At 36.2% G+C, this 14,528-nt stretch overlaps 1 protein-coding gene across 3 annotated transcripts in view; it reads left to right on the top strand.

Moving 5' to 3' along the window:
• SLC12A1 (solute carrier family 12 member 1) overlaps nt 2,436-14,528 on the top strand; it is a 97,777-nt gene continuing 85,684 nt past the window's right edge. For all 3 annotated transcript variants that reach the window (NM_001384136.1, NM_000338.3, NM_001184832.2), the window contains exons 1-2: nt 2,436-2,464; nt 3,668-4,273. In NM_001384136.1, coding sequence (NP_001371065.1) covers nt 3,854-4,273 — 420 coding nt within the window. In that variant the 5' untranslated portion in view covers nt 2,436-2,464; nt 3,668-3,853. The remainder of the gene's footprint in view (nt 2,465-3,667; nt 4,274-14,528) is intronic.

The raw sequence follows: 14,528 nt of genomic DNA on the forward strand, positions 1-14,528 counted from the left end.
GAAAGAATATAAAAAATATAAAAGGCTGGTTACAACATGAAAACAACATGGAAATTTCATGAAATGTTAATTCTTCTAGGAATAGATGTTCAGTGTCACAGTTGGATCAGCCTCTAGCTTCCCCTTCCCAAAAGCCTTGTCAGAGAGGACAGAGGAAAGATAGAGGAGCATACCTCAAGATAGCTTGCTCCTGTTACCTTTCCCGCTTGTCTGAAAGGCCTAAATCGGATTCACCTTTCAAGGTTGGCTTTATGGATGGTGTTATTTCATCCATATCCCCCAAAACTGTCTCCCATTTGTTCCAGGATGCCTGAATCCCCTTAAAAGAGAACAAAGACTTTCATTTCACAGTGAGAGATAAAAGGCTTAGAATGAAAATGTCTGGTTGATATAAGACCAAGACTAAAACAAATTCATACCACTCTGAAGTCAGGCAGTCAGTCAGCAAGAAAAAGGAAATTGACTGGTATCAGAGGTATTCACAGTCATTGGTAGAGGAAAAAGGTTGTAGAGTAAATAAGTGGCTCCAAAAAGGGTTGGAGGATGCCAGCTTATGGCTCCTGTCCTGGTCTGGTGAATAGAACTTATTTTGGGTGCCAGCCCCATCCTAGCTGTTCTTTGTCTTGATCTAAACAACCAGCCCCACCCAGCTGAATTTGAAATCGGACACTCCTATGCCAAAACACTTTCTATATGAGGAATCAGAACCCTTTGTTGAACAGATAAATGCCTTGTACTGGTGACCTTTAAGAGTGGAATGAGTTATAGGTATATACTTGTAATTCTGTCTCTATTTCTGATATAGCCTCACGACATTAGCCTGACTGATTAGCATGACATTTACTTAACGAAGAGGATCTAAAGGGTTTTACTTAGGTGTCTCTAGACACTTCTATAATCCTGTATCAGTTCACTAACTTACCTTTACACTTATTTTTTATAGACAAAATATCTATCCCAATCTCTAATGATTCACCTCACAATCTTGTATGTGCTAAGTAAAAATCCCCAGCTAATTGTAAATAGCGCTAAAATAGTGAAAGCAAGCACTAGGTACAAATTGTTGCTGTTCTAAACCCCATACACAAACTAACTCATTTATTCCTCAAAATAACTCTACAACAAGGTAGGTACAATTATAATCCACAACTGCATTTGCAGATGAGAAAATTAAGGCACAGAAAGATTGAGTAACTTGACTGAGTTCACACAGACAGCAAGTGGCAGGGCCACGACATAAGTTGGGCCTTCTGACTTGAGTCTTGCTCCTAGCCACTATATTACACCACAACCGAGCTACTCAGACAACTGGAAATCACTTAAATCGTTTCTTATAAGAAACAAAGAGGACTCATTCAATCATCCTGATTGATAATCAGTGACAGACTTGAGGGAGGAATTGTTTGCAGTGTTAATAATCACCTACTTGCAGATCTGAAAAAGAAAAACCTTTTCCTCAACAAAACTCAAAAACTGAGTTGGACAAAAAAATGTTTTTCTAGTTGGAGACAGAAAGGTCATTTAGTAGTGCCACTGAGATGCTTACCCACAGTTTGGTTCCTGCTTAAAACAGTTTTCCCTGCTGGGCGCGGTGGCTCACACCTGTAATCTTGACACTTTGGGAGGCTGTGCCGGGCAGATTACCTGAGGTCTGGAGTTCAAGATCAGCCTGGTCAACCTGGTGAAACCCCATCTCTACTAAAATTACAAAAAAATTTAGCCAGGCGTGGTGGTGGGCGCCTGTAATCCCAGCTACTCAGGTGGCCGAGGCAGGAGAATCACTTGAACCTGGGAGACAGAAGTTGCAGTGAGCTGAGATTGCACCAGTGCACTGCAACCTGGGCAACAGAGCGAGACTCCATCTCAAAAAAAAAAAATTTTCCCATATTTCCCAAAATAGAAATATTTTCAATAAATCATTGATTCCACTCTTAATCTGCTTACTTCCCATGCAAAAGAGTCAAGGTAATGTCTACTACAAGCAAGATAAAATCATTTCAGACACTACTTTCTAGTTACAGAGTATAGAAATTGTCTCTGGAGAACTATATTTTGATACACATGCTAAACAATAGGAGGTCACTAGGACTCATCTGTAAGACGGTGGAACTCAATTTATCTATTCCCAAATGACTAATGGCAATGCTCATATTTTTTGGACAATTGCTGTTAAGGGATCCAATTCTCCTTATGAATTAAAGAAACTCTATGTTACTTCCTGTCTAAAAGGATTAATGGTTTACTACTAGTTACCAGTTGATGTGGTACTTAAGTTTCCTCAGGGCTAATGACCTGGTGGGGCTTACAGTACTATTCCAGGCCAATCATTGCACAGTCATCTCTTTCAAGAAAGTTTCTAACCAATAAGCAGAAGCCTAACTTTCTGGCTGAAAGCTAAGTGTCCCATATATTCCTGGGTGACGCTGAAGCAGGTTACATTTCCTCAGAAGAAGGCTCCTTGGTGGTAAGTTGAACATTTCTGGGCAGGGTAAAAATCATACTTAATATTATGTCATAAAGTAGATTCTGAGGAGTAGGTGAGGGTGTCAAGGACTATGAAGAGAAGTGTTTTGTAAAAACTAAAACGATAATAGCTTCATTTATAATTTCCCCAGGAAAGGTTACTTGAGAAATGAAGTTGAGGGTTTTTTTAATTCAAATACACAGCTTTAATAACTGCATGAGAGAGACAAGTTTTTATTTATATTTATCTCATTTTTCTAGAACTTCCCTTGAAAAGCCAAATTTTAAGGTATCAATAAGGAAATATAATTCTAAAGCAAGTGTTTTAAGACAGGCCAGTACTATGAAATTGCGAAAATTATTGTGAAGTCTATTCACCTCACAGTCAAATATAAACCTCTCAATTATTGAAGACATTTCATTAAAATGAGTCAGTAGAGCATGATTATTTTACCTAAACATAGCAGAGGACTTTTTTAAGGTATATGACTTATTTCTTATAGATATATGACTTATTTCTATATTCATATTTTTTTAAGGTTTCATGTTAGTATTTGCAAAACAAACAAATGTATGAGCAAATGAAACATTTGGATCTTGTAAAAGATCTAAGAATTCACAGAGACATCATCTTGATGGGATGTATTTTTTAAATGCATATTCTAAAACATAATTTTTTACTTGTTGCATAGGTAACAAAATTTGGAATTTATAAGTTGAACATGTACAGATTTTTATAAACTAGCAAGAATATATTTTTTAGAAGTTTTGTTTTTCATTTTATATGTTGTATAGTATATATTCCTAACAATCAAAATACTTTGCAGTTTCAGCATTTAGTACTGTCAGTGAACTGTGTCTTAGGCTGAGAATATTCTCATCAGCTCTTACTGTATTCAATAAGTAAAGTTACATCTTTTCTAAAGTCACAGTGAACTCCAGTGCACTGAATTCAAGCAAATACTACAAACACAGGTAACATTTTAATGACTGCATTGGAAGTTCTGTTTGCTGGAACAGTTTTCCAGTTATTTATTATCAGATTTAATTACTCACATGACTAAGGTTCCTGGACAGATAAATTTTAGTGAAATGAGTTTAAAATTGTATGTCTTGTAAAATAAAACTGTTCCCTTATATCCCACCCTTACCTAAATATATTTGTATTACTTGGAACAAGTTTAATTTTCTTTTTCAATGACAGCTTTGAAGAACATCCTGAAGATTATATCGGAGACAATATATCAAGAATCTATTTATTGAATCATCTAGAACAAAAGCCAGGAGCTCCCTAATGGAAGCACATTAGTGTTTATTTTGATGAAGAAATATATAGATTTTTTAAAACAACCACAAAGTAGATAGCTCAGTAAAAAATCAATTTTGGAAGATGTCACTGAACAACTCTTCCAATGTATTTCTGGATTCAGTGCCCAGTAATACCAATCGCTTTCAAGTTAGTGTCATAAATGAGAACCATGAGAGCAGTGCAGCTGCAGATGACAATACTGACCCACCACATTATGAAGAAACCTCTTTTGGGGATGAAGCTCAGAAAAGACTCAGAATCAGCTTTAGGCCTGGGAATCAGGAGTGCTATGACAATTTCCTCCAAAGTGGAGAAACTGCTAAAACAGATGCCAGTTTTCACGCTTATGATTCTCACACAAACACATACTATCTACAAACTTTTGGCCACAACACCATGGATGCCGTTCCCAAGATAGAGTACTATCGTAACACCGGCAGCATCAGTGGGCCCAAGGTCAACCGACCCAGCCTGCTTGAGATTCACGAGCAACTCGCAAAGGTAAGCTTGAAGGACACAAGCAAGTCTCCTCCCTTATTCATAACTTCAGATAATTTCCTTCTCTTTCATTACACTATGAATGAATGTGAAACAGTCAAATGGAGAGGTCTATTCCAAACACTATCCATCTTACTTACAAAACTGTCCCTAGTTCCCAGAAAAGTGTTTCACAGATGCTTTTTCTTTGGATTTTTTTTTTTCTTGAGACAAAGTCTTGCTCTGTCACCCAGCCTGAAGTGTGGTGGACACTGCAGCTTTGAACTCCTGGGCTCAAACAATCCTCCCACCTCAACCTCCTGAGTAGCTGGGACTGCAGGCATGCACCACCACACCTGACTAACTTTTTTATTTTTTGTAGAGACAGGGTCTTGCTATGTTGCTCAAGCTGGTCTCGAACTCCTGACTTAAAGGGATCCTCCCACCTTGGCCTCCCAAAGAGATGGGATTGCAGGCATGAGCCACTGTGCCCAGCTCCACAAATGTTTTCTGACTTAGGATAGAGAACTAAAGAATTAACTCTAAATGTTAGGCAATATGTTGTACCTTGTATATGATTATAGTCCACTCAATTCACACTTGGTTAAACACGTCAAACTGAATACCAAGCTGGTTTCACGTCAGTATTAATGTCTCTATGTCAATCGTATAAAAAGCAAAACACTTGTGCTTGCTGTAGTTAATACTGTGGGTGACAGCCTTTAGTGTGTAGGGGTATTTTTTATATTCTTTAAAGAAAGGGCAGAGATTTATAAGATTCAGCATTTTATCCCTTCCTCTTTAAAACTTTGCCTGAGGCTCCTGAATGTGCTTAAGCATATAAAAATAACTAAATTAAAGTACAGAAGCAGCAGAAGTGACTAAACTTTTCATTATTTAAGAAATACAGCCAGGGTTCCCAAGTCTGTTAGAAGTGAGGCAGCACTTTTCCCAATCTTTTTTGAGACGAAGTATCGCTCTTGTTGCCCGGGCTGGAGTGCAATGGTGCGATCTCGGCTCACCGCAACCTCCACCTCCTGGGTTCAAGCGATTCTTCTGCCTCAGCCCCCTGAGTAGCTGGGATTACAGGCATGTGCCACCACCACACTCAGCTAATTTTTTTGTATTTTTAGTAAAGATGGGGTTTCTCCATGTTGGTCAGGCTGGTCTTGAACTCCCAACCTCAGGTGATCTGCCCACCTCAGCCTCCCAAAGTGCTGGGATTACAGGTGTGAGCCACCATGCCCGGCCTCCAATCTTAGAACTTAGTAGATTTCTTCTTCCATAACTTTCTCCAAAATATACTGATCACCTTTATCTTCCTGCTCTTCCAGACCAGTTTGGAATAAATATCATTCTTTATAAAACACAATTACCTGCTAAAAAGAATGATTAGATGTCACATATTCAAATGAGTTTACTCTTGCCCAAGTTTTGAGGAGAAGAAAATGATTCAAACAGTTCCTTTTGTATGCATTCATCCATTCGTTCCTTCAATATTTTTTTAAATGATCATCCACACCCGAGAGTCTAGGAATACTACTCTCAGGAAAGATGCTAATAAAGGGGAAAATCTTTCTTTAGTTTCTGCTCACCTTTCCTTCCACAAGAAAATCCATCTCCAAATCGTATTTGCCTTGGCTGCTAGGGTCCCTGACTCTGGGTCCTACCACCAGAGACCAAGTGACTTCCTGAGGAGGAGCCCATGTTTTTAATTTTGTTTCCTTGTCCCCTTTCCCCACCAAAACTTGCTAGTCCTGTGTACTAAATCGGCAACAGTCTGCCAAATGGCTGGTTTCCTTATAGACCTAAGATTTAGATTTTATCTGGCATATTTGATGCTTTAATCAAAAGAAGTTAGCAATGCGACAATTTCAGACAACATGGTAGCCCCCATGAAGAATTTTGAGAAGGGAGGCAATTTGAACTGTTGAAATCCAGCTGCGGTGTCACTGTCCTTTTCTGTGTCAAGAAAGGAAAGGAAAATGGCAGAGAGAAAAAGGAGAAGAGAAAGGAAAAGAAGGTTGACAGAAGCAGCCCCCAGGAGTTTCCAAGACATGGAAAGGGCAGAAACAAATTTAGGGCATTATAAAAAGATATTTCAATTGTTTCTGAAGAATTAAAATGAATCAAAGTTCTTTTTTAAAAAGACCTGAAATTCTATCCCACAATACTCTACCACGTCACACATGATAATTTTTAAATCTGCCTCCTTTTTTAAAGTTAGTGTCACAATTTAAATATTATCATTCACCTACTTCCCCAATTTACAACAAAAGAAAATAGAATTCTAACTTCATTAAAAAAGAAATGGGATAAATTCACATTGTTCTTAGGACTGACATTCCCGACAGAGAAAAGTAGCTTATTTATAATTGCAAAAGCCATGGCTTATGTAAATCTTTCAATAAAGGGAGAAAAGCTCTGAAGGAACAGGTGTTTAGAAAGCCATCTAAAGCCTGGGTGTGGTGGCTCATGCCTGTAATCCTAGCACTTTGGGAGGCTGAGGCTGGTGGATCACCTGAGGTCAAAAATTCAAGACCAGCCATGACCAACTGGTGAAATCTCTTCTCTACTTAAAAAAAAAAAAAAAAAAAAAATTAGCCAGGCATGGTGGCACATGCTTGTAATCCTGGCCCTGGGAGACTGAGGCAGGAGAATTGCTTGAACCTGAGAGGCAGAGGTTGCGGTGAGCTGAGATAGTGCCACTGCACTCCAGTCTGGGCAACAGGAGTGAAACTCCATCTCAAAAAAAAAAAGAAACAGAAAGCCATCTAAATGACCACACAGTAGGAATGTTATAGCTGCATTAGATAAATGTAATAGCTGTTTGGAATATTGTATCACTTTTGAAGACATAAAATGAAACTAAAGACTGAACTTCGACTTAAAGCATTTTTTTTCTTAGACACAAAGGAATGGCAAATTAAAATATTAAAAATTAGGCCTAAGCTCTGAATAATCATTTTGAAAGTGTATAGTAATAAGCTACTCTTTTACAGACTTGATGCTCAGTTATCTAGGACCCTTCATCTTGATTAAATCATGAAGAGGTATCCACATAGCCAAATTGGGAGTAGAATTCAGATTCAACCACAGAATCTACAATGTGCACATTTCTGCAGCCAGGCCCATTCTAGTGTTGCTGAAATTGTATGGCCTAGCCTGGCTCTCCATGTGTAGCAGTCTGGGCCTTCTTTAATTTATCTTTTTATTGCTTGCTAATGAATTTGACTCAGCTACTCTCCTTACTTTTCCCCCCTCAAATATAAGAAGTGAAAACCTGCAATGTGCTGTAGCTGTGCTGCCACCTCCTTGTGGCCCTTGACATTTTTATGGTAGTTCCTCAAATCACAACTAGAAATCATCAACAGAACAAACATTATGTGATTATACTCAGACCCTTCACAGATTTTGTATGCAAAAAATATAAATAATAGTGTTTACTTAAATCATTTAAAAGTAGAAGGTAATTGACACAGTACAAGCTAGACAATACTTTTTGTAACTATGATTAGAATGCTTTTAAAAGTTATAATAGCAATAGCACATTCATACCGAATGGCAGAACATGGTTAGTCAGAAAACCAGTTGGATTTTGCGTAAATTTTGGTTATAATTTCCAAGTGAGAAAAAAGTTACATGACAAAATTATACTAATAGGTAAAATAAAAAACAGGTTTGAAAGACATTATTTTAAGGCTCTACCTTAAATGAAACTCTAGTTGTGATAGATATTGACAGAATTTATAATCCCAATGACTTGAGATCGTAATTGAAGAAATTCTTTTTATTATCTATGTTAGTAAAGAGCTAAATACCTATACTGGTGACCGTTAATTATAAATTTCTGAAAACTCTACTTAAAAGCAGGAGAAACAACTGTCCTTTACTTGCTCTCTACAAGCTATTGTATGAACTACATAACTTCTACTTATCTTGCAAGATGCTTGTGAACATTAGTTTCTATAAGTATAAAGTCTACCCTTACAATGAGTAAGAATTCAATAAATGATCGATGATGATAGTGGTAATTTTTATACTAGCTTTTTATTTTAACAGAAAAATAAATACAAATAAAATATTTAACAAATACTAAAAAATATGTAATAAAATGTTTCTCTTCTAACATCAATATTCAGTTATTCTCTCCAGGACAATCATTACTAACAGTTTCTTGTAAATCCTTCCAGAAATGTTCTAGGCTTATATAAACATACACATATATCTATAAATATCTGGATTCCTATCAATCTAACTTTCTGTTTATATTTATTTTCAAACATGTACCAGACGTATTTTCCACATTGTTCTGCACTCTGCAGTTTTTACCAAACATACCCTCGAGATCTTTCCGTATTAAAGCATATGTAATAATTATTTGACATCTGGCAAAGATTAATCTAGTGCCTTTACTTTGTAAAGAGAATTTTGCTTTCAGTATCCAGCCTAATTCCTGTGACCAACTTTTCATATCCAATTCCTTACTACAGGACTAACCAAAATGGAACTCCTTTTCAGCCTTACTAACCACCATTGTTGTTAGCATTTCAGAAAAATATAATTTAAAAGGATTCAAGGAAATATATAGACTTTCTATCGAAGCCATGTGTCATTGAAATAAGCTATCTATGAAAAGTATAAAATACTATAAAATTAAGACAAATATTATTCTTAAAGAAGCTAACTCTATAGAAACTAATCCAAAAAAAAATCAATGAAATGACTATATTTGGATCATTATGCTGTTAACAACTACAAATAATTCGTAAATAAAAGCATTAACTTTAAATGCAGTGTAGTAATAACCAACTTTTTGTTGAGAACTTGTTATGTTTCAGACACTGTGCTCACACTTAAAAAATTCTCACTCAATCCTTAACAACAACCCCTCAAGGAAGGTACTATTATTATTGCTTTTTTATGGATGGTGAAAGTTTTATAAAATGCTGTGGATCTTTTAGAAGAGAAAACAAAGGCTTGCAAAAGTCAATGAACTTCCAAGGTCAAGAAACCAAGGTCACATGCTCATAAGTTGAACCCATGTCTGCAGGACTCCAGAGTCCTTGATCTTCAGTTCTACTTTCCATCCTCAGTCTGCTTTCCCTTGGCACTTTTCATTAACTCATTCAACAGCTGTAGAGAATGGTGGGACTCAGGCACGAAGAAGAAAATCACACTCTGTCATGATGGGCTGAGCAGGAGGTACTTCCTTGTTTCAGTCCTTTTTTCTGAGACTGTGACAAAAGATTGTATTGCTTGTCCTACAGAATTAATTATGTCTCAATCATTTTCATTGTCACCATCAAAAGCATTTATTAAGCATGTATTTACAAGAGTTTCTGTGTAAAGTGAGTTAAAGTGACTTGACCTCTTTCCTCTAGAATTTTTTTTTTTTTTTTTTTTGAGACGGGATCTCGCTCTGTCACCCGGGCTAGAGTGCCGCGGCGCAATCTTGGCTCACTGCAAGCTCTGCCTCCCGGGTTCACACCATTCTCCTGCCTCAGCCTCCTGAGTAGCTGGGACTACAGGCGCCCGCCAGCATGCCCGGCTAATTTTGTTTTGTTTTGTTTTTTGTTTTGTATTTTTAGTAGAGACAGGGTTTCACCGTGTTAGCCAGGATGGTCTCGATCTCCTGACCTCGTGATCCGCCCACCTCAACCTCCCAAAGTGCTGGGACTACAGGTGTGAGCCACCACACCCAGCCTCCTCTAGAATTTTATAAGTCAAACGACATCGTTATGGATACGAATAAAGGAAATGTAGTCAAGTTAACAAACATTAAACCACATAAATCAATGTATTAAAATATACATTAAATGCTTATCTTCTATAAAAGGACAAAAATGTACGAATGTTTTCTCTAGAAAATAACCTTTTCTACAGTGTTTCAAAGTTCAAATTTGCAACTTTAGCATTCAAATTGGGGATATCTGAAATTAGAAATAATTACTAAGCTAACAACAGCCAAATAAAATAGACATTAAAATTGAAGCAATAAATGCCTTAAAGTCCAGTGACCAGAAGCCACCCTTAAAATATTTGTTGGAGTGAACCTCTGCAACTAAGAGTTCATTCTGATACTTTAGTTAGAGTTTCTTAGTACTCAGGGCCAGTTCCCCGGGGAGCTCACACTATTAAAACAATCTCTGGGAAAAAAAACAAAAACAAAAACAATTAATTTTTTATTATAAATAGTTTAGTAATACATGGCAAGAAGAGCAGTAGTTCCCTTAAACTTATACTTGGAAAATATTAAGAACCTTTCCATTTTCTTTTTCATATGCCAGTTTATTGCACATAGCTAACTTTTGTCCTAAATTATCAAAAACACAAGTCAATTTGTGTGTGAGATATGTGTTTTCAGCTATAGTAAATGCACTATGATTACAAATTGTGACCATTGGTAGTGATTTATAGGCATAATGTGTAATAACTTTCAAAACAAGAAAAAAAGACTTTCATTTTCATAATTTAAAATATTGCCTTTTATCACAAAGGGATAGAAATGTATAAACATAATAATATTGATCAGTAAGGTATGGAAATATGGTTAGAATCATATGTTTTTCATTCTGAAATGAAGCTTAGGAATCATCTGGTTCTTACTGGGATTGGTTTTTAGATAATTGAGTGGCAGGAGTGGGAGGGGCTTAGGTTAGGTGGAACAAGTTTGGCCATATGTTGATCATTGTTGAAACTCAATAATGAGTACCTGAGATTTATTTTGTTATTCTCATTACTTTTACATATGTTTGAATATGACAATAATAAAAGAAAGTTTAAAACAACAGGGGGATCATCTAGGTGTGAATATTTATGGAACTGTCTCTCGGTGGTGGTCTAAAAATTCTATCAACCTGAGATTAAAGGATCAAAATTCAAAAGAATGTATAAGTAGCAAATATTATCTAGTTGGAACTTAAAGAATAAATATATTTATTTTCCCTGCTTTGATGATAGACATAAAGATGTAAGTAACAAATAGTATCTAGCTGGAACTTAAAGAACAAATATATTTATTTTCCTCAGCTTTGATAATAGCTATAAAGGTATCTGATATGTTTCTGGGGTCTGAAAAATCACATTACATATTAAATAAAATAATTTAATCTTTCATTATCAAGAACTCATTGCCCTTTAAACTGCATGTGATTGAAGATTCATTAGTTGTCAAAATTGGAGTGGGGATAATCTGTTATCAAGTGGTCTTCCTTTCTTTTCATTTTTTAAACATACTTTATTTTACTTTTCCTGAATCCTTAACACACAGTTAAAATTCTTAGTAAATAAATAATCATTCCCTAAAGCTACATAATTTAGAATACATTTATAAAAGGTTATGGGTCATCATTTATGGTAATGGGAGTGTGAACAAACAAATTAATTCAATGTATGAAGGGAAAAACTGGTTTCAGGCAGTAATCATAAAACTTTTAGTCTTTGAGACTTTGGCCTCAAGAACATGAACCAGCTGGGAGACTGCAGGCCACCTGCTACACAGCTCATAGCCATCAAGTCCCCACAAACCCTCCACCCAAAGTCATGTTCAGTACTTTGATGATGAGTTTACAACTGCTGTTCTGATTTACTAAGGAGGCATTTATTAAAGAGTGAAACAAAGGTTTGCTTTGCCATGTCAGAACTGTAAGATGGCAAACAGAGAAAAACAATTTTGCCTTAGAGTAAATTACTTCAAGATAAGATTTTCACAAAATCCACTGGATTTATTCTTATTGGCAGTATTCAAGCACGGTTAAACACCTTGATGGAGGACGTACCCTGAATGAATTGCACAACCAAAACTAGATTCCAAGTATCCTAGTTTATACGGTGCAGGATTTTTTGGCTCCTACATGAGAGTAAGCAATGGAAATGGCTTCTGTGCTTGTAAATTTACTGTCAGACCTTAATAGTCAACAAAAGAAGTATACATTTGGGGTTTTTTTCCCCTCTATGGTATAAATATATTTAAAACTTTGAAATTCTAGCAGGTTGAACATATTATTAATACCTAAGGGAGAGTTGAACACCCTACATTGACTACACCTTTGAATAATTTAGAAAATGATTGCTTTACTAACTTGCACATATAGTGGTTTCCCTGTCATCCTCTCATAGAATATTCTTTTTGCATCATATTGTGAAATCCTAGTGATAAATTGAAGAACCATTAAACTGTGACCAGGAAGGGCATCCATCAGGAAGGAAAGTTCATTTTAGAGGAAATTTTAAATACCCTATTCATCCTTTAGCCTACTTTGTAAGATTTGTTTACAGTCTTGGATATTCTCATCAATTCATATCTAAGGGTCACAATCACCATTGGAGTTTATCAGCTAGCAGAGCAATTTCCCAGACCAAATCTTCAAGTTTAATCAGAAAACATAGGTTTTATTCCCAAGACCATCTTTAAAAAAGGCAAGCAACTAAGGCTGTGTCTCTTGGGATCCCCAATTAATCTACACAAAGAAAATTGCCCTCTCCCAAAGTGAGTAACTACTGATGGTCTGGCTATGGGATTTTGATTAACTAGAATATTGACAATTTTTTTTAAAGTTTTTCTCAAATCAAACTAAATAAATAGATCTCCTAACAAAATAATCCCTTCAATAGTCATGGACATTTTAACACATTCCTCAATTCCCTGCTCTCATTGATTATACATTTCAGTTATGAAAAAAATGAAAGTTACATTTGACCTATTCAGCTGCCGTATGTGTATAGAATTCTTTCAGAGAAAAACAGAATTTTTAATGGACTGGAAAACAGCCTCAAATGTTTCATGCATCTGAAATTGACTGCATTGCATAGACCTATGCTGTCCAATATGGTAGCCACTAACCACATGGGGCTATTGAGCACTTGGAACATGGCTAGTCCAAATTGAGATGTACTGCCAGTGGAAAATACACACTGAATATCAAAGACTTAGTATTAAAAACAGAATGTAAAATATTTCCTAATATTTTTATACTGATTATATATTGAAGTAATATTTTATAGATATTCTATTAAGTAAAATACATTACTAAAACACTCCTGTGATTCAGTTCCCTACAAGTTGGGGTGCAACTATTGCTAATAAATACTTATATTGCAAATATTAGAAATATGATATTCTCCAAAGATTAAGTATATCTTTAAAATGTAAGGGTCCATCTCTAAACCTAATTACTGCACCAATTTCTTTTTCCTTTTTAAAAAGTAGAAAATTTTGAATTACATACTTGGTTTGCATTTATAGCTGGTATAGATGACCAGTTTCTGCCCCACTATGTTAGCCTCAATTTTTTGGACTGCGTTTATTCTTACATTGGTGTGAATACATTATGTTAGCTTTCAATTATTTGTGCAAATAAGGACTGAGGATATCTAAGATTAACATATTCCTCAGGTAATTAAAAGCTAAATTTTAATTATTAACTTCAATCTCCTCTGTTATTCCATTTTTTCCCAATACTGTCAGAAAATAATAAAATAATCTGTCTTAGGATTCAGTCCCTTCTTCTTCCCTTTTAAATGTGACCTACCCAGAAGAAACAATAAGAAATGAGCTGTCCCATAGAGATGGAAGATAAAAGAAGTAGGAGGCAAGAATGGATAAGAAACTAGGATATCTGCTCTTAAGGGGTAGAGATCACGAACTTTCAAGTCCACCTTCTGAATTCAACATTGTTTTGTTATTGTTGTTTTTGTTTGTTTGTTTGAGATAGGGTCTCACTCTGTCACCCAGGCTGGAATGCAGTGGCACAACTGTGGTTCACTGCAGCCTTGACCTCCCTAGCTCAAGCAATCCTCCCACTTCAGCCTCCCAAGTAGATGGGACTAGAGGTGCATGCCACCACACGCAGGTAATTTTTTTTCTATTTTCTGTAGAGATAGGGTTTAGCCATGTTGCCTAGGCTGGTCTCAAACTTCTGGGCTCAAGCAATCCTCCTGCCTCAGCCTTCCAAAGTACTGGGATTACAGGCATGAGCCACTGCACCTGGCTGATTCAGCATTGTTTATTGATGGCCTGCTACATGCCAAGCCTTTGGCTGGTACTGAGAAAAAGTAACCCACAATTTAGAATCATCCTATAATAATGGTAATTAAGTGCTGAATCTTTCTCTGATTCACTTGTCACACAATGACTCTTATGACTCTGTATTATGCTGCTTATCCAAGTGTCACAATAGTATCATGAACAAGGTCTCAAGAAAGAAGAGTTTGAGGAGAAATCCTTACAAAGACAAAGAAAATGCACTCACCTCGGGAAGGAAAAGCAAATAAATAA

This window comes from Homo sapiens, chromosome 15, assembly GCF_000001405.40.
Source record: "Homo sapiens chromosome 15, GRCh38.p14 Primary Assembly".
In the NCBI taxonomy this organism is placed as follows: Eukaryota; Metazoa; Chordata; class Mammalia; order Primates; family Hominidae; genus Homo; species Homo sapiens.